At 47.5% G+C, this 25,651-nt stretch overlaps 1 long non-coding RNA gene across 6 annotated transcripts; it reads left to right on the forward strand.

The window, feature by feature from the left end:
- Nucleotides 1–1,617: 1,617 nt before the first annotated feature.
- LINC02968 (long intergenic non-protein coding RNA 2968) lies at nt 1,618–25,183 on the forward strand. 6 transcript variants are annotated; one of them, XR_007068380.1, is made up of 8 exons: nt 1,672–1,922; nt 3,149–3,410; nt 11,130–11,225; nt 12,482–12,892; nt 12,986–13,773; nt 16,491–16,742; nt 20,486–20,545; nt 24,883–25,183. It is a non-coding gene; the product is annotated as a long intergenic non-protein coding RNA 2968 (long non-coding RNA). The 6 variants fall into 6 exon arrangements; XR_001755765.2 differs by having other exon boundaries at nt 1,755–1,922; nt 3,149–3,395; nt 12,676–12,892; XR_007068378.1 differs by having other exon boundaries at nt 1,755–1,922; nt 3,149–3,395; nt 12,679–12,892.
- Nucleotides 25,184–25,651: the final 468 nt, after the last annotated feature.

Consider the following 25,651-nt stretch of genomic DNA (forward strand, 5'->3'; position numbering starts at 1 on the left):
GGCTGGCTGGGGTAGATATGTCTGTGCTTCCTTTCTGCTGGAGCCTGCTAACTTTCTGTTACTCTTTTGATATCAGGCCCCTAGCTCCTCTGAGGCACGGGAATATCCAGTTTCTTCTCCCCTCTGAAGAACCTGCCTGATAACAACCATAGTGCTTTAAATGGCATCTCCCAAAAGATAAGTCCGTGCCCTTCTCCCTAAAACCTGGGAAGGTGACTTTATTTAAAAAAAAAAAAAAGGGTCGGCCGGGTGCGGTGGCTCACGCTTGTAATCCCAGCACTTTGGGAGGCCGAGGTGGGTGGATCACGAGGTCAGGAGTTTGAGACCAGCCTGGCCCACATGGTGAAACCCTGTCTCTACTAAAAATACAAAAATTAGCCGGGCACGGTGGTGCATGCCTGTTATCCCAGCAACTTGGGAGGCTGAGGCAAGAGAATTGCTTGAACCCAGGAGGCGGAAGTTGCAGTGAGCCGAGATCAGGCCACTGCACTCCAGCCTGGTGACAGAGCAAGACTCCATTTCAAAAAAAAAAAAAAAAAAAAAAAAAAAAAAAAAAAAGGGTCTTTGCTGTCACAATTAAGCCTCTCAACATGAGATCATCCTGGATTGTTTAGATGGGCCCTAAATATCACAACTAGAGTTTTGTTGTTGTTGTTGTTGGTTTGTTTCTTTGTTTTTGTGACGGAGTCTCACTCTATCACCCGGCTGGAGTGCAGTGGTGTGATCTTGGCTCACTGCAACCTCCACCTCCCGGGTCCAAGCGACTTTCCTGCCTCACCGTCCTGAGTAGCTGGGATGACAGGTGCCCCCACCACACCCAGCCTAATTTTTGTATTTTTAGTAGAGACGGGGTTTCACCATGTTGGCCAGGCTGGTCTCGAACTCCTGACCTCAAGCGAACAACTAGCATTTTTATAAACTACAGAAGACGGTGGCTATTCATCTGCCCCCTCTCTCCTGGGTATTTGCGTGTCAGGTGCAGAGATGGAGTCTTCTGAGGGCGCACATCACAGCGTAGACAGAAAGTTGAGGTTGTACATGCCGCAGGTTCCAGATGGAAATCACTAGTGCCTCCTCTTCTCTCTAATAGGCACACTAGACACAGCAGGTGCATTTTGGCGGTGGGATGAGGTCCGACAGTCACCTTTATTTTTTATTTATGTATTCATTAGTATTATTATTTTTTGAGACTGAGTCTTAAACTGTCACCCAGGCTGGAGTGCAGTGGCGGCATCTCGGCTCACTGCAACCTCCACTTCCCAGGTTCAAGGGATTCTCCTGCCTCAGCCTCCTGAGTAGCTGGGATTATAGGCGCCCATCACCATGCCCAGCTAATTTTTGTATTTTTAGTAGGGACGGGGTTCGCCATGTTGGTGAGGCTGGTCTCCAACTCTTTTTTTTTTTTTTTTTTTTTTTTGAGACGGAGTCTCGCTGTCTCCCAGGCTGGAGTTCAGTGCCTCAATCTCGGCTCACTGCAAGCTCCACCTCCCGTGTTCTCGCCATTCTCCTGCCTCAGCCTCCCCAGTAGCTGGGACTACAGGCGCCCGCCACCACACCTGGCTAATTTTTTGTATTTTTAGCCATGGGGTTTCACCATGTTAGCCAGGATGGTCTCAATCTCCTGACCTCGTGATCTGCCTGCCTCGGCCTCCCAAAGTGCTGGGATTACAGACATGTGCCACCACGCCTGGCTAATTTTTTGTATTTTTAGTAGAGATGGGGTTTCACCGTGTTGGCCAGGCTGGTCTCGAACTCCTGACCTTGGATGATCTGCTCGCCTCGGCCTCCCAAATTGCTGGGATGACAGACGTGAACCACCGTGCCTGGCCGACAGTCACCTTTAGAATGTGAACAGTGGACACTGTGTTGGGGTCTCCTACCTGTGCCTGTGATGTGGACTGGCCCATCTCGTCATGGACAAGGTGGGGAACCTTGACTCTGACCCCTGATTTTGGATGTTTCCTCGTGGAAAATAAATATAAACCCAGGGTAGAGTGTGTGAGACAAGCTGGATGCATCCTGTTTTTCTTTATTTATTTTTTTAAGTTGGAGTCTCGCTCTGTCGCCCAGGCTGGAGTGCAGTGGTGCAATCTCGGCTCACTGCAACCTCCGCCTCCTGGGTTCAAGCGATTCTCCTGCCTCAGCCTCCTGAGTAGCTGGGATTACAGGTGCATGCCACCATGCCCGCCTAATTTTTGTACTTTTAGTAGAGACGGGGTTTCACCATGTTGGCCCTGGTCTGGAACACCTGACCTCAGGTAATCTGCCTGCCTCAACCCCCCAAAGTGCTGGGATTGCAGGTGTGAGCCACCATGCCCAGCCAGATGCATCCTGTTTTTTAGCCCACTCAGCAAAGGTCTGTGCCTCACCCGTCTACTAAGCTGCTGCTCTCGGCATTGAAGAAAAAAAGGAGAGGGGGCCGGGCGCCGTGGTTCACTCCTGTAATCCCAGCACTTTGGGAGGCTGAGGCAGGCCGATCACCTGAGGGTCAGGGGTTCGAGATCAGCCTGGCCAATATGGTGAAACCCCGTCTCTACTAAAATTACAAAACTTTGCCAGGCTTGGTGGCGGGTGACTGTAGTCCCAGCGACTCGGGAGGCTGAGGCAGGAGAATTACTTGAACCCAGGAGGTGGAGGTTGCAGTGAGTCAAGATGGCACCACTGCACTGCAGCCTGGGTGAGAGAGTGAGACTCTAACTCAAAAAAAAAAAAAAGGAGTGGGGGAGATTCTCTGTCATTCCCTTCAAGCCAAGAGAGGGCATTGAGCCTCCTGGGCTGAAGCAAGGAGCAGTCTGCCCACTCATGTATAAGTTGAGTCACAGAGATGACATGGTTCTGAAGGACGGGTGAAGTAGATGGGTCTGGACTGTGAAGACGAACTGTCAGCGTTCATAGCACAGAAACCGGCTCGCGTCTGTCTGTGAGCCTCCGAGAGGCAGATTTGAGATGGCTTTCCTTTATTTATTTATTTATTTTTGAGACAGAGTCTTGCTTTGTCGCCCAGGCTGGAGTGCATTGGTCATCTTGGCTCACTGCAACCTCCGTCTCCTGGGTTCAAGCGATTCTCCTGCCCTCAGCCTCCCGAGTAGCTGGGATTACAGGCGCCCACGACCACACCCGGCTAATTTTTTTTTTTTTGTATTTTTAGTAGAGATGGGGTTTCACCATGTTGAGCAGTCTGGTCTTGAACTTCTGACCTCGTGATCCACCCGCCTCAGCCCCCCAAAGTGCTGGGATTACAGGCGTGAGCCACCGCGCCCGGCCTGAGACGGCTTTCCAAGGCTGCAGAAATGAAGTCTGCAATAGCAGATCCTCTTTGCCTGGGTTTGCACGTGATCCAGCAAACCACCCACCGACCCGTTGCCTCATGTGAGACATCCTCAGGGAACAGCAAGGTGAGCGTGCCGCAGGTACGAATCTCTGGTTGTGGCAAATGCGTCTTTTGCAAAAGCCAAACCTGGCCAGCTTTTTGCACCAAATGGTCAGAAAGTAGAATTGAAGAGAAGCGGGTGCTTCGAGACCTGAAGCACATTCTCCAGGATCGGTATTTGAAGTCTCGGACAGGGACCTTCTGCAGCCAGATCATTTCTTGCCATGTTTTCTTCTCAGTCCTCAGACTGGAGAGTTCAATCTTGAGCTTCTCAGGCTGGAGATGAGCGGTGGGTGAGTAGGATGAGGCTTGGCAACTTCTCTGCAGGGTCTGTCTGTTATCACCACTCGGGAAGTTTATGATCCTGCTAACACTAGTTTTTCATGCCTTTTTTTCTTTTTCTTTCTTTTTTTTTTTTGAGATGGAGTTTCGCTCTCGTTGCCCAGGCTGGAGTGTAATGGTGCGATCTCGGCTCACTGCAACCTCTGCCTCCTGGGTTCAAGCGATTGTCCTGCCTCAGCCTCCAGAGTAGCTGGGATTACAGGCATGTGCCACCACGCCCAGGTAATTTTTGTATTTTTAGTAGAGACAGGGTTTCACCATGTTGGTCAGGCTGGTCTCGAACTCATGACCTCAAGTGATCTACCTGCCTCGACCTCCCAAACTGCTAGGAGTATAGGGGTGAGCCACTGCCCCTGGCCTAATTCTTCACATCTGAATAAGGTCACACTTAACTTTCCCCGAGCTCTGTCTTTCCTGACTGAGTTAATGCTGGAGCCGTTAAAACCGAGAGAGCACATCCGTTCTCAGGCAGCATTTGCTAACTTCTTCAGAGCTTCATGGAATGTTCTGCCTTCTCAGGGCATGCTGTGGTTTGGTTTTCTCCTTTTTCTTCTCCTCCTCCTTCTTTCCCCCTCCTTCTTCTCTTCCTGTCTTCCTGTTCCTCTTTCTCCCCCTTCTCTTCTCCCTCCACTTCTCCTCCTCCTCCCCCTCCTTCCCTTCCCTCCTCCCCCTCCTTCCCTTCCCTCCTCCTCCTCCTTCCTCCTCCCCTTCATCCTCATCGTTCTCCTCCTCCTCTTCTCCCCCTCCTCCCCCTCCCCCTCCTCCTCCTCCCCCTCCTCCTCCTCCTCCTCTTCCTCTTCCTCCTCCTCTTCTCCTCTTCTTCCTCCTCCACTTTCTCTTCCTTTCCCCCACTCTTTTCCCTCCTCCTCCTTTCTTCTTATCCTGTTTCTCCTTCTCCCTCTTCTCCCTCCTCTCCTCCCTCCTTCTCTTTCTGCTCCTCCTCCTCGTTCTCCTCTTTCTCCCTCCTCTTTCTCCCTCCTCTTTCTCCCTCCTCCTCTTCTCCCTCCTCCTCTTTCTCCTCCTCCTCTTTCTCCTCCTTCCTCGTCCTCCTCTTCTCCCTCCTCCTTCGTCTCCCCCTCCTCTTCTCCCTCCACTTCCTCTTCCTTCCCCCTCCTTCCCCCCTCCCCCTCCTTCCCCCCTCCCCCTCCTCCTCCTCTTTCTCTCCCTCCTCTTTCTCTCCCTCCTCTTTCTCTCCCTCCTCTTCTCTCCCTCCTCTTCTCTCCCTCTTCCTCCTCCTCTTCCTCCTCCTCCCTCCTCCTCTTTCTCCCTCCTCCTCTTTCTCCCTCCTCCTTTCTCCCTCCTCCTCTTTCTCCCTCCTCCGCTTTCTCCCTCCTCCGCTTTCTCCCTCCTCCGCTTTCTCCCTCCTCCGCTTTCTCCCTCCTCCGCTTTCTCCCTCCTCCGCTTTCTCCCTCCTCCGCTTTCTCCCTCCTCCGCTTTCTCCCTCCTCCGCTTTCTCCCTCCTCCGCTTTCTCCCTCCTCCGCTTTCTCCCTCCTCCTCCTCCGCTTTCTCCTCCTCCTCCTCCTCCTCTTTCTCCTCCTTCTCCCTCCTCCCCACTCCTCTTTTTCAGAGAAGGTCTTGCTCTGTCACCCAGGCCGGAGTGCAGTGAGTACAATCATAGCTAACTGCAGCCTCAAACTCCTGGGCTCAAGCAATCCTCCCACCTCAGCCTCTCAAGTAGCTGGGACCATAGGCATGAGCCACCATGCCTGGCTAAATTTTTAAAATTTTTGTAGAGACAGAGTTTCCCTATATGTTGCCCAGGCTGGTCTCAAACTCCTGGCCTCCAGTGATCCTTCCATCTCAACCTCCCAAAGTGCTGGGATTACAGGCATGAGCCACCCTGCCTGGCCTATTACCTTCTTGTTTATCAAGTTACTTCTTTATATCTGAGGCTAGCTAGATACCTGGAATTTTCCATGTAGAAACTCAAGATTTTCCTTTATTTTCACACGTGAGTTCTGCAGGCCCCTAAAAAGAAGGGTCTCTGCTCCACCTCAGAGCCATGGTTTATAGAAAGATTGAGGACAAAACTTGGTGACCAGGACTCGGGCTGAACCTCCAGGCTCCGTGTCTGGGTCTACAGTTTCTCCTACAGCAGAAGGTTGAAGCATCCCTCATAAACCTGACTCTGAACTTGGGGCCCCCACGGAGCTGGGAAAAGCAGGCACAAGAATTGGGGGTGGCACTGGCACTTAGACCCAAGACAAGGGGAGTGGGAACTCTGAGCTTTGGCCATCATGCTTTGTTCTAAATTTCTTCCTGAGGACGGGCACGGTGGCTCACACCTGTCATCCCAGCACTTTGGGAGGCCGAGGCAGGCGGATCACGAGGTCAGGAGATCGAGACCATCCTGGCTAACACGGTGAAACCCCGTCTCTACTAAAAATACAAAAAAATTAGCCAGGCGTGGTGGCAGGTGCCTGTAGTCCCAGCTACTCGGGAGGCTGAGGCAGGAGAATGGCGTGAACCCGGGAGGCAGAGCTTGCAGTGAGCCGAGATCGTGCCACGGCACTCCAGCCTGGGTGACAGAGTGAGACTCCATCTCAAAAAATAAAAATAAAAAAAATAAATTTCTTCCTGAGGGTCCTGCAGAGAGTCACCCCACAAGCCAGTTAACATTTTAGTTCTGCTGACCCCAGATTTCTAAATAAGTCTTCCCTTCCTTAACCAATTACAAATCAGAAACATCTTTGAATCTACCTATGACCCATAAGCCCTCACTTCAAGACATCTCACCATTTTAGATTTAAACAGATGTATAACTTGCATGTATTTGCAAACCAAAAGGCCTCTGAGACAGGTCTTAACCTTGGCAAAATAAACCTCTACATTGATTAAGGACCATGGTCCATGACACAGCCTTAGAAGGTTCTGAGAACATGGGCCCAACATGGTTGGGTTACAGCTTAGTTTGTTTTTTTGTTTTTGTTTTTGTTTTTGTTTGTTTTTTGTTTTTTTTTTTTTTTTTGAGACGGAGTCCTGCTCTGTCGCCCATGCTGGAGTGCAGTGGTGCGATCTTGGGTTGCTGCAACCTCCGCCTTCTGGGTTCACACCATTCTTCTGCCTCAGCCTCCTGAGTAGCTGGGACTACAGGTGCCCGCCAGCTCACCTGGCTAATTTTTGTATTTTTAGTAGAGACAGGGTTTCACTGTGTTAGCCAGGATGGTCTCAATCTCTTGACCTTGTGATCCGCCCGCCTCAGCCACCCAAAGTGCTGGGATTACAGGCGTGAGCCACTGTGCCCAGCCTACAGCTTAGTTTTATACCTTTTAGGGAGACAGAAGTTACAGGCAGACACATAAATCAGCACATGGAAGGGACACATTGGTTTAGCTCAAAAAGAGGGGACAGGCTTCCAGGTCATAGGTGAATTTAAAGATTTCTTAGGCCAGGAATGGTGGTTCACACCTGTAATCCCAGCACTTTGGGAGGCCAAGTCAGGTGGAACAGTTGAGGCCAGGAGTTTGAGACCAGCCTGGACAACATAGCAAAACTCTGTCTCTACTAAAAATGCAAAAACAAAATTAGCTGGGTATGGTGGTACATGCTTGTAATCCCAGTTACTTGGGAGGCTGAGGCATGAGAATCACTTGAACCTGGGAGGTGGAGGTTGCAGTGAGCCAAGATTGCCCCACTGCACTCCAGCCTTGGTGACAGAGTTAGACTCTGTCTCCAAAAAAAAAAAAGAAGAAATGACTTCTTGATTGGCAAGTGCTTGAAAGGGTCAAGCTCTGCCTGCAAAGTTTGAAATCACGGGAGAGAAATGCTTGGGTTTAGAGAAAGGGGGCTGCAGAAGCCAAGGTTTTTGTTATGTAGATGAAGCCTCCAGATAGCAGGCTACAGAGGGAATGGATGGTGAACTTGTCCTATTGGGCGTTAACAGCTGTCAGAATCTCCAGAAAGGACCTTGTACATCTCTACAGAAGAAATGGCTTTGCAGGGCCATTGGGGTCAAATACTTTGATTCCTTCAAGGCCTGCTATCTGTCATGTAACGCTCTACCAGAGTCAAATCGGAGTTTGGGATCTCATTGCACAAAAAGTCTGGTCCATCTTAAACTCTCTGTTTTAAATGTTAATGCTGGTCAGTGGTGCCTAAACTTCCAAGGGAGGCAGGTCCAACCCCCATTTCCTGTCATGGCCTGAACTAGCTTCTCAGGTTGCTTTGAGAACCCCTTGGCCAACAGGGGACCCATTCAGTCCGTTGGAAACGTGAGAAGTGTATTTTTTTTTTTTTTTTTTTTTTTTGAGATGGAGTCTCTCTTTGTTGCCTAGGCTGGAGTGCAGTGGCACGATCTCGGCTCACTGCAACCTCCGTGTCCCGGGTTCAAGTGATTCTTCTGCCTCAGCCTCCCGAGTAGCTGGGATTACAGGCACGCCCCACCTCGCCTGGCTAATTTTTGTATTTTTAGTAGAGATAGGGTTTCACCATATTGGCCAAGCTGGTCTCGAACTCCTGAACTTGTGATCCGCCCCCTCCAAAGTGATTGGCCTCCCAAAGTGCTGGGATTACAGGCAGGAGCCACCGTGCCCAGCCACTGGGGTTACAGGCACGCACCACCTCGCCTGGCTAATTTTTGTATTTTTAGTAGAGAGGGGGTTTCACCATCTTGGCCAGGCTGGTCTCAAACTCCTGACCTCAGGTGATCCGCCCGCCTCGGCCTCCCAAAGTGCTGGGATTACAGGCATGAGCCCCCGTGACTGGCCAGAATTGTATTTTTTAATTTGGGTTTGTGTGTGTGTGTGTGTGTGTGTGTGTGTGTGTGTGTGTGTGACAGGATCTCTCTGTGGCCCAGGCTGAAATGCAGTGGTGCGATCTTGGCTCACTGCTGTTTCCACCTCCTGGGCCCAAGTGATCATCCTGTCTCAGCCTCCCAAGTAGCTGGGACCACAAGTGTGCAACACCATGCCTAGGTAATTTTTATATTTTCTGTAGAGACAGGGGTCTCACTATGTTGCCCAGGCTGGTCTCGAACTCCTGGGCTCAAGTGATCCACCCTCCTTGGCCTCTGAAACTGCTGGGATTATGGGCATGAGCCACTGCACTTGGCCTATTCTTTAAATTGTATGTGTGTCTGTGTGTGAGAGTTGGAGTCTCACTCTGTCGCCCAGGCTGGAGTAGTTCAGTGGTGTGATCTTTGGTCATTGCAACCTCCGTCTCCTGGGGTCAAGCGATTCTCCTGCCTCAGCCTCCTGATTAGCTGGAACTACAGGCATACATCACCATGCCTGGCTAATTTTTGTATTTTTAGTAAAGACAGAGTTTCACCATGTTGGCCAGACTGGTCTCAAACTCTGGACCTCAGGTGATCTGCATGCCTCGGCCTCCCAAAGTGCTGGGATTACAGGCATGAGCCACTGCATCTGGCCTATTCTTTAAATTTTTCTTGTGTGTGTGTGTGTGTGTGTGTGTGTGTGAGTTGGAGTCTTGCTCTGTCACCCAGGCTGGAATAGTGCAGTGGCACGATCTTGGCTCACTGCAACCTCTGCCTCCTGGGTTCAAGCGATTCTCCTGCCTCAATCTCCTGATTAGCTGGGACTACAGGCGTGTGCCACCATGTCTGGCTAATTTTTATATTTTTAGTAAAGACAGGGTTTCACCATGTTGGCCGGGCTGGTCTTGAACTCCTGACCTCAGGTGATCTGCCCGCCTCAGCCTCCCAAAGTTCTGGGATTACAGGCATGATCTACTGCATCTGGCCTATTCTTTAAATTTTTCTTGTGTGTGTGTGTGTGTGAGTTGGAGTCTTGCTCTGTCACCCAGGCTGGAATAGTGCAGTGGCACGATCTTGGCTCACTGCAACCTCTGCCTCCTGGGTTCAAGTGATTCTCCTGCCTCAGCCTCCTGATTAGTTGGGATTACAGGCGTGCGCCACCATGCTTGGCTACTTTTTGTATTTTTAGTAGAGACAGAGTTTCACCATGTTGGCCAGGCTGGTGTCGAACTCCTGACCTCAGGTGATCTGCCTACCTCGGCCTCCCAACATGCTGGGATTACAGGCCTGAGCCCCTGCACCCAGCCTATTCTTTAAATTTTGTGTGTGTGTATGCATGTTATTTTGGAGTCTTGCTCTGTCACCCAGACTGGAATAGTGTAGTGGCAGGATCTCAGCTCACTGCAACCTCTGCCTCCTGGGTTCAAGCAATTCTCCTGCCTCAGCCTGCTGATCAGCTGTAACTACAGGCATGCGTCACCATGCCCGGCTAATTTTTGTATTTTTAGTAAAGACTAAGTTTCACCATGTCGGCCAGGCTGGTCTCGAACTCCTGACCTCAGGTGATCTGCCTGCCTTGGCCTCCCAATGTGCTGGGATTACAGGTATGAGCCCCTGTACCCAGCTTATTCTTTACATTTTGTGTGTGTGCGTGTGATTTTGGAGTTTTGCTCTGTCGCCCAGGCTGTAATAGTGTAGTGGCACGATCTTGGCTCACTGCAACCTCTGCCTCCTGGGTTCAAGTGATTCTCCTGCCTCAGCCTGCTGATCAGCTGGAACTACAGGCACCTGCCACCATGCCCGGCTAATTTTTGTATTTTTAGTAAAGACCAAGTTTCACCATGTTGCCAGGCTGGTCTCGAACCTTGGACCTCAGGTGATCCGCCTGCCTTGCTTGGCCTCCCAAAGTGCTGGGATTACAGGCGTGAGCCACCGCGCCGGTGTAGTTAACTTTCCTTCTCCAAAGCTCTTGGCAGAATTCCAGGTAACTTATTTTATCCTAATGAAATAGACGACATAGCCCTTTGATGTTTGTATTGACTCCTGTCTCCCAGTGGAGAAAAATCACGAGGAAAAGAAAAGACAAAAATATTTACCCTTTAGGGTTCCCTTCATGTATCACAGTGACCTGCAGGGAAGCTCACATAAATGTAATTTAGAAAAGCTTCCTGTGGCCAGGCACGGTGGCTCTCGCCTGTAGTCCCAGCATTTTGGGAGGCCAAGGGGGGGTGGGGGCGGGGAACGGATCACGAGGTCAGGAGTTCGAGACCAGCCTGACCAACATGGTGAAACCCCATCTCTACAAAAAATTAGCTGGGCATGGTGGCGGGCGCCTGTAGCCCCAGCTACTCGGGGGGCTGAGGCAGGAGAATCGCTTGAACCCAGCAGGTGGAGGTTGCAGTGAGCCGAGATCATGCCATTGCACTCCAGCCTGGTGACAGAGGGAGACTCAGTCTCAAAAAAAGAAAAAAAAAAAAAAAGAAAAGCTTGTTGTGATCAATCAGATGTTTCCAATGATAACGAAAAAGCGACATCCACTGTTCACCTCGTGTTCACTCACCAGCTCACTCAACCCAAAGCACCGTCGTTTCTCAGGACGCACCATCCCATCATTTTTCCCGTAATTTCTCCGGTTAGTGTTGATTCGTGCTGTTAACATGCAAACCCACCTTACGTTCCTGCTTTACGGTTATGAATTGCAGTCTCGCTGTTCTTGGAAGGGACTTCCAGCCTGGAAAGAAAAGGGAGGGATAAGAGAGCATCTGTGGATCTTCCTGGCATATTCCTTCTCCTACAAGGTGAGCTCAAGAGCACAGAGCTTATCTCCACACAAGCAAACTCCCACTCTTCCTGTCATTGAACATAAGGAAGAAACAGGATTCTCCTCTTTTCTCAGTTGCATAAGCAAATCCTTATGCAAACATCTGAAGAGACATCAGAGAATCTTTGCCCGTGCCAGATGCCCTTCGGGGGACAGTCTGCGTCTGCTTTGCTTGGAGTAGCACAGGAGCTTGATGTGCCTGTGGAGAAGAGCATTGAGAGCTTGTTGGAAGGAAAATTGGTCCTGAAACTGCACAGGGCTACCCTAGGATTGGCTTATCAGGGGAGGCATATGTCCTGGTCCTGTAGGTCACAATCCTAGTGTTACTAAAAGGGCTCCCTCTCGGGTCAGGTGCAGTGGTTCACGCCTGTCATCCCAGCACTATGGGAGGCTGAGGCAGGCAGATCACAAGGTCAGGACATCGAGACCATCCTGGCTAACACGGTGAAACCCCGTCTTTACTAAAAATACAAAGAATTAGCCGGGCATGGTGGTGGGCACCTGTGGTCCCAGCTACTCCGGAGGCTGAGGCAGGAGAATGGTGTGAACCCAGGAGACAGAGCTTGCAGTGAGCCGAGATCACGCCACTGCACTCCAGCCTTGGGTGACAGAACAAGATTCCGTCTCAAAAAAGAAGAAAAAGAAAAAAAAAAAAGGGTCCCTCTCCAGACCCCAAGAGAGGGTTCTTGGACCTCAGGCAAGAAAGAATTTGGGGCAAGTCCCTAGACTAGAGTGAAAGCAAGTTTCTTAAGAAAGTAAAGGAATAGGCTGGGCGCAGTGGCTCATGCCTGTAATCCTAACACTTTGGGAGGCCAAGGCGGGTAGATCACTTGAGGCCAAGAGTTCGAGACCAGCCTGACCAACATGGTGAAACCCTGTCTCTATTAAAAATACAAAATCAGCCGGGTGTGGTGGCACATGCCTGCAAATCCCAGCTACTTGGGAGGCTGAGGCAGGAGAATTGCTTGAATCCAGCAGGTGGAGGTTGCAGTGAGCCAAGATGGCGCCACTGCACTCCAGCCTGGGCAACAAGAGTGAATCTCCATCTCAAAAAAGAAAAAGTAAGTAAAGAAATAAAGAATAGCTACTCCATCGCAGAGCAGCCCTGAGGGCTGCTGGTTGGATATTTTTGTGGTTGTTTCTTGATGGTATGGTAAACAAGGTGGATTATTGATGAGTTTTTCTGCACAGTGGAGGAGATTTCCCAGAGTGAAGGGTTCCTCCCCCTTTTAGACCATACAGGGTAACTTTGAGTCATGGCCATGGCATTTGTAAACTGTCCTGGCGCTGGTGGGAGTGTCTTTGAGCATGCTAACACGTTATAATTAGTGTATAAAGAGCAGTGAGGATGACCAGAGGTTGCTCTCTTTGCCATCTTGGATTTGGTGGGATTTGTCCGGCTTCTTTACTACAACCTGTTTAATCAGCAGGGTCTTTATGGCCTGTATCTTGTGCCGACCTCCTATCTCATCCTGTGACTTACAATGCCTAACCTCCTGGGAATGCAGCCCAGTACGTCTCAGCCTCATTTTACCCAGCTCTGTATTCAAGATACATTCACTCTGGTCCCAACGCCTCTGACACTACGTTCCAGGGATTACGGCATGAACATACTGTTTTCAGGACCCTATCTAGCCCACCATGGTAAGGAAACACCCAACAAACATCATGCTTATTAAGTTTCCAGGCAGGTGCCTCTCTATCCCAGCTTCATTGTTGTGTTCTTTTCTTCACAAGTATTTTCAGAGCTGCCCTTGGCCATCTGGAAGATGCATGGTGAAAGAAACGGATGCTTGCTCTCAGCACACACTTCCTTCCCTGACAGTTTGTCGCCTAGCAGCTATTTTGGCTTCCCAAGGGAAATCTTGTCCTTTGCCCTTGTGGGGCTTACTGCAAATCAACTCATCATGAGGAAGATTAATCAGAGAAAAGACATACAATTTTTTTTTTTTTTAAACTGTGAGCATGAAGAGAATCACAGAGTGTATACTCAATCTCCCAATGGGGGCAAAATACTTCTGTAACCTCCTTTCAGGTGGCGAGAGGGGACATGGGAATGTAGGTAATTCTGTTGAGTGGTAATAAGTGATGACTAGGAAGATTGAATGGATACTTGGGAGAATGAATAGGGGGAGGAAACAGAGATTGACTTATTAATGGTTCCCTTTGGAAATTAAATACTCCTTGGAGACCAGTCATTACTTTGTAAAAAAGTCTGTTTGAGCGGGCTTACATCTTAACGTTCTTTCCTGTAGTCAAGAAGAAGATCCCAGGGAGGGAGGGAAAGTGAATTGTAATAATCCCGACATGTTCAGGGAGGGACCCTGTGGGAGGTCATTGAATGATGGGGGGCAGGTGCTTCCTGTGTTGTTCTTATGATAGTGATTAAGTCTCACAGGATCTGATGGTTTTATAAAGCCAGGTTCCGCTGCACATGCCCTCTTGCCTGCCGCCATGGAAGATGTGCTTTTTCTCCTCCTTTGCCTTCCGCCATGATTGTGAGTCTTCCCCAGCCATGTGGAACTGTGAGTCCATTAAACCTGTTTCCTTTATACATTACCTAGTCTTGGATATGTCTTCATTAGCAGCGTGAGAACAGACTAATACAGAACGGAAAAAAAAAATGTTTTACTTGGTGGATGTCTCTGGTTTTTATGTCAATGGGGAAAAGTCCCTTCCAAGGTCTTTTAATCTTTAAGGGTTTTTAATTTAAAATATTCGTTTTGCAAAGGAGCCATATTTTGGGGTGAAATTATCTGTACAGAGCCAGTAATTCATCACAGAGGAGATAATTCTGTTTTATCAGAGACTGACCAAGAGCTATGTTGATCTTGTGAATTTGGGAGATTACCCTTTGCTCAGCTGATGTTCAAGGAAGGCAACGGCTTTGGGAAAAAGTTCAATATGTATCCGTGAAACTGCTAACCTTTGGGAGTTACCGTAGTTTGGATATGGGTTATTTGTTCCCACCAAATGTCATGTTGAAATTTGATCTCCAGTGTTGGAGGTGGGGGTAGTGGGAGATGTTTGGGTCCTGAGGGTGGTTCCCTCCTGAATAGATTAATGCCCTCCCTCAGGGCTGAGTGAGTTCTCACTCTATCAATTCCCTCAAGAAATGCTTGTCAGAAGAGTCTGGCACCTCCAACCCGTCTCTCTTTCTTCCTGTGTCTCTGTGTGATCTCTACACACTGGCTCCCCTCTGCCTTCCGTCATGAGTGGAAGCTCCTTGAGGTCCTCAAGATCCTTCTTGAGAAGAAGATGCTGGTGCTAAGCTTCTTGTACAGCCTACAGAACTGTGAGCCAAATGAACTACTTTATAAAATACCCAGCCTCAGGTGTTCCTTTCTGGCAACATAAAATGGACTAAGACAGGGCCCCATACTCATAGCTACCTTTTCATGTAGGGCTGAAATGAGGAGAGGAGGACACAGACACACACAGATGGAAGACCCTGTGAGTTCTCAGGGAGAAGATGGCATCTACAAGCCAAGGAGAGAGGCTGCAGGAGGAAGCAGCCCTGCAATGCCTTGATCTCAGACTTCCAGCCTCCAGAACTCTGGGAAATAAATACCTATTGTTTAAACGACCTGGTCTGTGGTCCTTTGTAATGGCGGCCTTAGCCAACTAATATACTCCTCAAAAGCCTGACACATATGCTCATTTGGAGATTTGGGAGATGTGCTTGGAAATGACATGATTGAAAGTCTACCAGGCATTTCACATCAATCGTTCCGTCATCCTCTCCAAACCTCGGGGATGGCTTGTCTTTCTCTCTTGTAAAAATCACTTCTCCCTTCTGACCACATAAATATTCCAGACAACAGACTCTTCGGAAACAAGTGCTCACACTTCGGTCCTCTGTTAACTCTCTTCCTAAAGACACCAGACACTGGGGGAGAGATCGGGGCTGGAGGGGTGACTGACTGACAAAAGCGAGACTGTAGGAGCAGAGACATGTCGGATGGGTTTTACAGGTTTCCTGGAGCAACAGCTCTTATTCTGGGCTCCTGGGGTTGCCAACTGCCTGTTATGGGCCAAATTGTGTCCGTCTCCAATTTTATACATGGAAGTCTTGATCCCCAGGACTTCAGACTGTGACTGTGTTTGGAGATGGGGTCTTTAAAGAGGTGATTAAGGCACAATGAGGTTATTAGGGTGAGCCCTGCTCCTATAGCTATGGTATCTTTACAAGAAAAGGAGATGAGGACACAAACACACACAGAGGGATGACCCTGTGAGGACACAGGGAGAAGACAGTGTCTCCAAGCCCAGGAGAGAGGCCTCAGGAGGAACCAGCCCTGCCCACACCTGGATCTCAGACTTCCAGCCTCTAGGACTGTGGGAGAATCAATGTCTGTTGTTTATAAGCCACCGAGTCTATGATATTCTGTGATAGCAGCCTGAAATGGACTAAGACATCCCATAAGAAGAAGAGACGAGGACACAGACACACACACAGGGATGACCCTGTGAGGACACAGGGAGAAGACAGTGTCTCCAAGCCCAGGAGAGAGGCCTCAGGAGGAACCAGCCCTGCCCTCACCTGGATCTGGGACTTCCAGCCTCCAAGACTTGGGAGAATCAATGTCTGTTGTTTATAAGCCACTAAGTCTATGGTATTCTGTGCTAGCAGCCTGAAATGGACTAAGACATCCCATAAGCAGAGGAGATGAAGATTCAGACGCACACAGAGGGACGACCCTGTGAGAACACAGGGAGAAGACAGTGTCTACAACCCCAGGAGAGACGCCTCAGGAGGAACCAGCCCTGCCCACACCTTGATCTCAGATTTCTAGCCTCCAGGACTGTGGGAAATAAGTATATATTGTTTAAGTCACCCAGTCTGTGGTGATTTGTTATGGAGGCTTTAGCCAAGTAATATACTCCTCAAAACCCTATTTCTATTGGGAGATTTCTATTGGAAGGAAGATTCAGAGTGCAAATTTGTAGTATCCCTGCTGATCTATCTCCTAAATGAAACACATCATTCCCAAGCACTTGTCTTTGTGCGAAGATCCATTTTGCAACCAACCATATATAATGTGTGAGGCCTTTTCACAAGACTGGCTTAATTAAAAATTCACATCCTCCTGACATCTTAAATATAAGAGCAGTAAGATATGCAGCTTTAACAGTTTGTAGTGGCTGGGATTTTGAGGAGGGATGTTTTGTCGTTAGCTTGGGAAAATAGGTTCTACTGACATCTGTTCAGCTTAGCTATTATTGTTCTTTTTTGTTACAGAAGTAAAACGGGGAATTTTTTAGAAACACGTCAATTACCTTTGATTTTGTGTCATATACAGAAGGGAATGTTTTTATTCCTGCAAACCCCATAAAAGCCAGTGATGCATTTTCATAGCCCTCTCTTGGCAGAAAACTGCCTTTGAAATTTCTGGATCAAGAACGTATTATTTTCTGATGGCTTTTTTTTTTTTTTTTTCTGGTGATGTATCTCAAAAGCTTCAACTTTTCCCCTCCTGTTAGCAGAATACAGGTGAGTAGTAAAGTACGAACCATTTTTTATTTTCTTCTTACAGTAGAATTTTTTCATCGCTTACAAATATAGGTGCCCCTGGCTTCAGAGAATCACACTTTTCCATGCCACTAAATTCAGACACCACCAAGGACTGTGAATTTGAGCAGAAGTGAGGTGTGTCACTTCCTCCCAGAAGCCTGGGTCGTGGTTGCCCTTGGAGAACATAATTTTTTGAAAATATTTATTTTACTTTAAGTTCTGGGATACATCTGCAGAACGTGCAGGTTTGTTATACTGGTGTACATGTGCCATGATGGTTTCCTGCACCTATCAACCCATCATCTAGGTTTTAAGCCCCACGTGCGTTAGGTATTTGTCCTAATGTTCTCCCTCCCCTCACCCTCAACCCCCTGACAGGCCCTGGTGTATGATGTTCCCCTCCCTGTGTCCATGTGATCTCATTGTTCAACTCCTACTTATGAGTGAGAACATGTGGTGTTTGGTTTTCTGTGTCTGTGTTAGTTTGCTGAGAATGATGGCTTCCAGCTTCATCCATGTCCTTGCAAAGGACATGAACTCATTCTTTTTTATGGCTGCTTAGTAATTCATAGTATATATGTGCCACATTTTCTTTATCCAGTCTATCATTGATGGGCATTTGGGTTGGTTCACTGTTTTTGCTATTGTAAATAGTGCTGCAATAAACATACGTGTGCATGTGTCTTTATGGCAGAATGATTTACAATACTTTGGGTATTTGCGCAGTAATGGGATTGCTGGGTCAAATGGCATTTCTGGTTCTAGATCCTTGAAGAATTGCCCCACTGTCTTCCACAATGGTTGAACTAATTTACACTCAACAGTGTAAAAGCGTTCCTATTTGGAGAACATCTTTTGTTCTCTCTCTCCCTCCCTGAGAGTGGAAGTATTCCAGAACAGGGCTGCTTTATCCCCCTGGGTCCTAGTCTTAAGATGACAAATAGTGAAGCCCCCATTGGTGAGCAGGTGGTATGGGTGAGAAACAGACTTTGGTGATGTTAGCTGCTGAGATTCTGGGATTGTTTGTTATAGCAGCATCACCTGGTCTGTCCTGACTAATACACATATTGACAATTTACTTTTCATCGAATTACTTTGTTGAGCTGTGTGTTAATAGAATGAAAACGCTGCTTTGTGCAAAAAACACTAGCTAATAATATAGACCCTTAGTTCCACGAGCATTTTCTACCTTGTATTCCTTGGTGCAAGGACTTAACAAATCATTTGGCACTTGTACAAGAGCATTCATATAAAGAGGCAGCAGCTTAATTTTGCTTGTTTCCCAAGCAATGTGTTCAGGGAGGTCTAGACACAGAGTGGACAGATGAAGGAAAATGACCCAATGAAGACATTTTCCAGGACATGTTCCCTGGCTGTGCTGTAGGGGTGACCACATTTTAGTCTAGTAAGGTTAAAGATCAGAGCTGAATACTGCTGAAACTTGAGCGTCCTAAAAATTCCCTGTTAAAGGTATCCCATGGAGAGATCCAGGTCTCACTACATGATTTGAAAATGGTCTTATTTGGAGGAATCAAATTAATCAGCTCACAACAAGATGCTTGTATACTTGTGGTGTTGAGACCTCAGTGATGGATACCTTTTTGTTTTTTCTTTGAGACAGAGTCTTCCTCTGCTGCCCATGCTGAAGCGCAGTGGCAATCACATAGCTCACAGCCCCCTTGAACTCCTGGGCTCAAGATATCCCCTCAACTCAGCCTTCTGAGTAGCTGGAACCACAGCTCTGTGCCACCACAGCTGGCTGATATTGTAATGCTGAGATCTTCATCTGTACAAAAAAAATAAAAAATAGCCAGGTGTAATGGTGCACACTTGTAGTCCCAGCTACTTTGAAGGCTGAGGTGGGAGGATTGTTTGAGCCTAGGAGTTTGAGGCTACAGGGAGCCATGATTGCACCCACTGCACTCCAGCCTGAGCAACACAGTGATGTTGCCCAGGCTGGCCTTGAACTCCTGACCTCAAGCAATCCTCCCACCTTGGCCTCCCAGATTGCTGGGATTACAGGTGTGGGCCATCGCACTCAGCCGGTGTTGAATACTTTCCGATGGCAGGTTGAGAAGACATGACTGGTAGAAGAAAAATGTTCCTAGGGCCAACCACATGGGGGCAGACTTTGTTGGGGCACCATGGCAACAGTTCCCAGTGGCAGGACCTGACGTTTCAGGAGCTAGGGAAAAGGGAGGCCATGGAATACAGGTTGAGACGTGGTAAGGACAGTCCCAAATGTTGCCTACCCCAGTTTTGTTCAGCAAAAGTCTCAGTCGTTGATTCCTTTTGTGGGCTGAAGGTATAATTCGGCTTTTTCTGCCCAATATGATGTTTGTGAGATTCATCCATATCATCCAGATGTAGGAGCCTCCTGGATTTGGAGCCTCCTGGATTTTACAGCTCAGGGTACCTTGGGGAACTGGAGGCAGAGCTTACTCTTGTTAATAACTAAAATCATAACAGTGATAGTTGACATTTACCCAGCTCTTGCAGTGTCTAAGGGGCTATCCCAAGAGCTTCCTTTATGTGCGTTGCCTCGTTTAATTTTACAGCCTTCTCATCATGGTTACACCATTATTATCTGAAGTTACAGGTGCACCAACTGAGACCTAGAGGGTTTCAGGACTAGCTGTGCATGCCTGGAAAAGTTTATGACAGTTCTGGGTTTGCAGCTTCAGTCAGTGTGGCTGAGAGCTTGTAATCACCAGGCTTCTGCCCACAGGAAGCAAGCAGGGTGAGGATGGACTGGGTTCCTGGTTATCTTGATTCTGATTCTTTGATAGTAATTAGACACACATGTAGCTGAGGTGCCATCAGCCCTGTTGTTTCCTGAGGTAGCTTTGATGCTGATGGTAGGGTCGGCTTTTCAACTGTGCCTTTGCAGCCCTTGGAATAAATTTCATTGTAGGAAGCACTGAGTCACCATCTTCAAAGCAGGCAGCAAAGACCTTCAGAGCTGCTCCAGGGAACGCAGACAGCTCAGCTAAGTTTGTTTACCTTCTGGAAATGTCAGATTTGGAGGTTCATTGCATTTGTCAGGGGAGCAACGTGCCTCTGTTGACATCGCCTCACCCTGCCGTGCAGCTATGCTTCTCTTCTCTGCTCCTGAAGGTCTCAGACAGCCAGGCTGCAGTCCAAGTGTCACCCCTTAATTTCAGCAGGCAGGCTGTTCTCCCGTGTCAGGGAACAACCTGAGTTTCAGAAAAGTGTCAATTTTGTGCTGCCGAGGAAGAATTTGGGCTTAGGCAAATGGTAAGGTCATAGCAGATGCAAGCCCCAAATTTAGTTCCGAATCGTGTTTTAATTATGATTTCAGGCAAATGTAACACATTGAAATATGTGACAAGTATAAATGTAGTCATACCACCTACATTGGGGAATGACTTGTCCTGCAGCATTTTGGGGTGGGGAAGAGGGAAATTCCCAACATTGTGTTAAAATAATATCCTACATAAGAATACAGAATTAATCAACTGAAATGCTAGATTTGTTTTGGTTTTACTCCAAAGACTAGTTAGACATACTCATGACACAAGAGTCACATAGTCTACTTTTGAGACTTAAAGAGAGAAACTAGAAGCTCAGAAAGCAGACTTTGGCGTTAAGCACTGGGTAAGTGGGAAGAACAGGGAGAAGAATGAGTTTCTATCCTTCATCCGTCTTTGTTCTGCTGCCTGTAAGCCCAGTTCATCTGTTGTTGTTGTTTTTTTCCCAAGGGGATCCGGTACCGAATGCAGCATCTACCAACCACAGGCACTGGATGTAACTATGCTTTGGTGAGCTTTCTTCTTGGGAAAACATGAAGAAATCACAGGCATTATTACTGTGTCTGCGAGTGTTGCTGGCAGGGCTGGCGGTCTCTGTTTTAATTCGCTTAATTGTGCACTAAAGCTTATCTTTTCCTTGCTGGTGCTTGTCCTTAGTTTATCACGCGAGGGAATTAAGATTCATTGGTTGGCCGGGTGCGGTGGCTCATGCCTGTAATCCCAGTACTTTGGGAGGCCGAGGCAGGCGGATCACGAGGTCAGGAGATCGAGACCATCCTTGCTAACACGGTGAAACCCCGTCTCTACTAAAAATACAAAAATTAGCTGGGCATGGTGGTGGGAGCCTGTAGTCCCAGCTACTCAGGAGGCTGAGACAGGAGAATGGCGTGAACCGGGGAAGGCAGAGCTTGCAGTGAGCTAAGATTGCACCACTGCACTCCAGCCTGGGAAACAGAGCAAGACTCCATCTCAAAAAAAAAAAAAAAAAAATTCATAGGTAAGGAATGCGTGGAGGGCTCTTTTATAACGTATCAATGCACAGCATAGATGGAAAGCATTCTTAGATCAAAAGAGCATGCCCAGGTTATTTCCCCAAATGAAACTACCCATAAACAGACTGAGATCCAGATGGTGACTCACCACTAGCAGCTCCCTGGAGAGCTCCACACACGCCTGCTGACAGTCACCATCCCTCTGCTGCCATCACGGTCTTCTAACGCTGCTGGTAGTTTTGAACATTTTCATACTTCATGCAAATACATCATATAGAGTAGGTGATTTTGGGGGTTCAGGGTATAATTCAGCCTTTTCTGCCTAAGATGATGTTTGTGAGATTCATCCATGTCATGGCGTGTCAATATAGCTGTTTCATTGTCAACGACGTTTAGCATTTTCTTGGGTCAACACATCGAGACTTATTGATCCACTCTGCTGCTGATGGGCATTTCAGAAGTTTCCCATTTGCAGATACTGTCAATCAGGTACCTGGGAGCACTCTCGTCCATAGCATTTGTGACATATCTGTGGCTTGCTAGGGAATTTCTACCCGGGGTGGACTTAGCACACCGGGGTCTGGAGGACTATTTTGAAAAGAATGCTGGAAATTCGGTGAAAAGAGGGAGTGACTGATGACAAAAATCCTCCTATGGCAAAGAAGGTGGTAGTGGGCAGAATCTTCTACAGAGATCATCTCACTCTTCATGCACATCCCCACTAAACTTAGGAGAAACTTGAAAAGGGAAGAAATCTTTGCCCAAGGTCACTGTTGGTAAAAACCTAAGATCCTTCCTCCTTCCCTGGATGGCTTGTATTCTAACAGAAGCTCAGATAAATTCTGAAGTAAAGGGTTGGTATTTGATTGAAACCGATTTTGACATGATTTGTGAGTTTTTAAACCTTCCCAGGGGCATTCATTACCTTAAAATTCTAAAAGAAATTCAGGGCCATCTTAAAAGAGCTGATGGTTATAGACAAATCAGGCCATCTAGCAGAAGCATGAAAGAATGGATGTAAAATGAAACTCACCTATAGACAAATCAGACCCTCTAGCAGAAGCATGAAATAATGGATGTAAAATGAAACTCACCTATAGACAAATCAGGCCCTCTAGCAGAAGCATGAAAGAATGGATGTAAAAATGAAACTCACCTATAGACAAATCAGACCCTCTAGCAGAAACAGGAAAGAATGGATGTAAAATGAAACTCACCTATAGACAAATCAGGCCATCTAGCAGAAGCATGAAAGAATGGATGTAAAAATGAAACTCACCTATAGACAAATCAGGCCCTCTAGCAGAAGCAGGAAATAATGGATGTAAAATGAAACTCACCTATAGACAAATCAGGCCATCTAGCAGAAGCATGATAGAGGATGTAAAATGAAACTCACCGTGGCATACTGGAACACTCACTATCTTAGTCTGTTTTTTGTTGCTATGACCGAATACCTAAGACTCGGTAATTTGTAACGAAAAGAAATATACTTATGACAGTTCTGGAGGCTGGGAAGTCCAACAATGAGGAGCTGCATCTGGTGAGGACCTTCTTGCTAGTGGGGACTCTCTCTGGAGAGTTTTGAGATGGGGCAGGCCTCCGAGAAAAACAACCTGGCTTTTGATCACAGACCTGCTCTTCTGATAACTAACCCACACCTTAGATAACTCATTAATTGATTAATTCATGAAGGGATTAATCCATTCACGAGGGCAGAGCCTCATCTAAACACTCTTACATTGGGGACCCAGCCTCAACATGACTTTTGGTAAGGGCAAACCATATTCTAACCATAGCACTTACAAACCATCTGCTTATGTTGAATTAAATTTAGGTGGTTGAATACACACTCAGAGCTGTGACTCTTCGGTTTGATTTATCTCAGAAAGCTCTCAAAGTCCTCATGCTCTACTGAGCCCTCTCAGTATAGGTGGCATTTGCTACATAGCTGGACACTGAAGTTGGCAGCTGAACTTGGCTAGCAACAGGAGAGACTGATGGGTTAGAGTCGTTATGAATTAGTACTATTTTACATTTGTTAGAAAAAAATTGCAAAACTGAACTATTATTATTAATCTTATCATTATTTTGAGAGGGGGTCCTGCTCTATTGCTCAGGCTGGAGTACAGTGGTGCAATCGTAGCTCACTGCAGCCTCAAACTCCATACTGCAGCTCTGACCATACCACGGCTCCGACCACAGCACAGCTCTGACTATACCCCAGCTCTGACTTTACTGTAGATTGGACTATACTGCAGCTGAGACCATATTGCAGCTCCTGCCACAGCACAGCTCCAATCATACCGCAGCTCTGACTGTACGGCAGCTCTCAGCATAGCACAGCTCTGACTATACCGCAACTGTGACCATACCTCAGCTCTGACCATAGCACAGATCTGGCCATAGCACAGCTCTGACTCTACCGTAGCTCTCACTATGCTGTAGATCTCGCTATCCTGGAGCTCTAATCATACCACAGCTCTGAGCATAGCACAGCTTTGAGCGTATCTCAGCTCTGACTGTACTGCAGCTGTGATCATACCGCAACTCTGACCATATCTCAGCTCTGACCATAGTGCAGGTCTGATTGTGCCACAGCTCTGACCCTACTGTAGATCCGACTACACTTCAGCTGTAACCATCCTGCAGCTCTGTGCAGACCTTACATCTGATCTTGCTTCAGCTTTGACCATCCTGCAGCTCTGACCAGACCCCACGCAGTGCTCATCTCACTGCACATCTGACTGCTGCAGCTCTAACCATGCCGCAGGAAGTGAAGGAGACGAGAGAGAGAACTAAGGCTGCAATGCTGTTTGCATAGCTTGTTGGCACGGCCGCCAGGAATCTTGGATCCAAAGTTAGGAGTGCTGCTGCTGCTTCTCCCAGGGATGGGTCTGCCTCAGTATCCCTGCAGAGTCAGTCCTGGGGTGTTGGGGCAGCCGTGCACATGTGGTCTCTGTGGCCGGTGTTCCAGTGGGTTTCAGAGCAGTGGCTGAAACTGTCAATGAAACCCCCAATGTCTGACATCTCAGGAGGCTTCTCAGGTCTCCCACATGGCAGCTTTTTTTTTTCCTCTTTAAAATAAAAACTTTTTTTCATCCTTCACTAAGAAATAGCATTTCCCTATACACCTGACCTCAGCAATGTACACCGTACCAAATAATTACAAATGGTAAGTGCTTTTGTGAAAAGATAATCAACATGCCAGATAAGGAAAGAAATACAACATTAAAAAAAAAGAGGCCATAATTGTCCATACATTTGGCAAACATACAAAGAAAATGGACAATACTGACACGTTTCAGGGTATCGGGCAAAAGGATTCTCTGTTAAGGGTGGAAACTGGTAACATCAACTCTAGATGGCCCATTTACACATTATTTGGAGAGATTAAAAAAGTACCCATCCATTGAACCAGCAATTCAATGTGTAGGAGTGTAGCCTGCAGGTCGCAGGTGCACAAAGACTGTGTAAAGGGAATTGGCTGCAAAAAGGTATTTATTTGCAAAACACTGGGAATGAGTTGGAATCAATTTATAGGTTGATGGTTAAGGGTTATGTACAGTTGTTGGTTGCCAGCAAGAGAAACAGACTCTAGTTGATTGAAGAAATTTAATAGATATCGGGCAGGTCAGATAAAGGATGAGAAGATTAGGGAATTATAAGTAGAACCCCATGAAGGCTGGTGGATAAGAAGTCCATGTGTATACCTGCCATGCCCCAGTTATACACAGCCTGCTTAGGACACAGCTTTGTTGAATTACCTGTAGACCCCAGACTCTGTTGAAGCATTCTTGCTTCCATCACGAATAACTACTGAACTTTTTTTGTTTTGTTACATCCTTCCCTCAGAATTTTGAAGGTCCCTGATAAGACATCTTTGAGGTCAGGCATAAATCATCACTTCACATCTTGACGGCAATGCAACGAAGACAAGTATCTGTCTCTTTGGGTCTGTCTAACAAGGAGCAAAGCCTGGCCTCCCACCAGCATCCAGACAATAGTGGATTCCCTCTCCATAGATGTCAAAAAAGAAACAGATGCTCCCGCAGGTGAAATGAGCTCTGGTCCACAATGCAACGCAGGCTGTGCAGAAAATCAAAGAGGAACCAACCCAGAAGTATCCCCCAGGACAAATCATTAAGGGGGAAAAGGCAAGTGGTACAACCCTTTATTTTATGATTCTACTAGGAAAAAAAATAGCGGCATTCCTTAAAATATTGAGATAACTGGCAGGTAGAATGAACCAAAAACTATTAACAGGGGTTCCCAGGAGAATGGAGGACAATTGAAACAGGGTGTGAAGCGGAGAGGCATAATTCGTTCTAGTGATCCTGTCATTCTCGCCTTTCCAATGATACTATATTGGTGAATGCATTGCCCAGATAACATTTAAAAAGGTTTTAAGTGGCTGGGCACGGTAGCTTATGCCTGTAATCCCAGCATTTTGGGTGGCTGAGGCAGGTGGATCACCTGAGGTCAGGAGTTTAAGACCAGCCTGGCCAACATGGAGAAACCCCGTCTCTACTAAAAATACAAAAAAATTAGCTGGGCGTGGTGGCACATGCCTGTAATTCCAGCTACTTGGAAGGCTGAGGTACGAGAATCACTTGAACCCAGA

The sequence above is a fragment of the Homo sapiens genome, chromosome X, assembly GCF_000001405.40.
Source record: "Homo sapiens chromosome X, GRCh38.p14 Primary Assembly".
Lineage (NCBI taxonomy): Eukaryota > Metazoa > Chordata > Mammalia > Primates > Hominidae > Homo > Homo sapiens.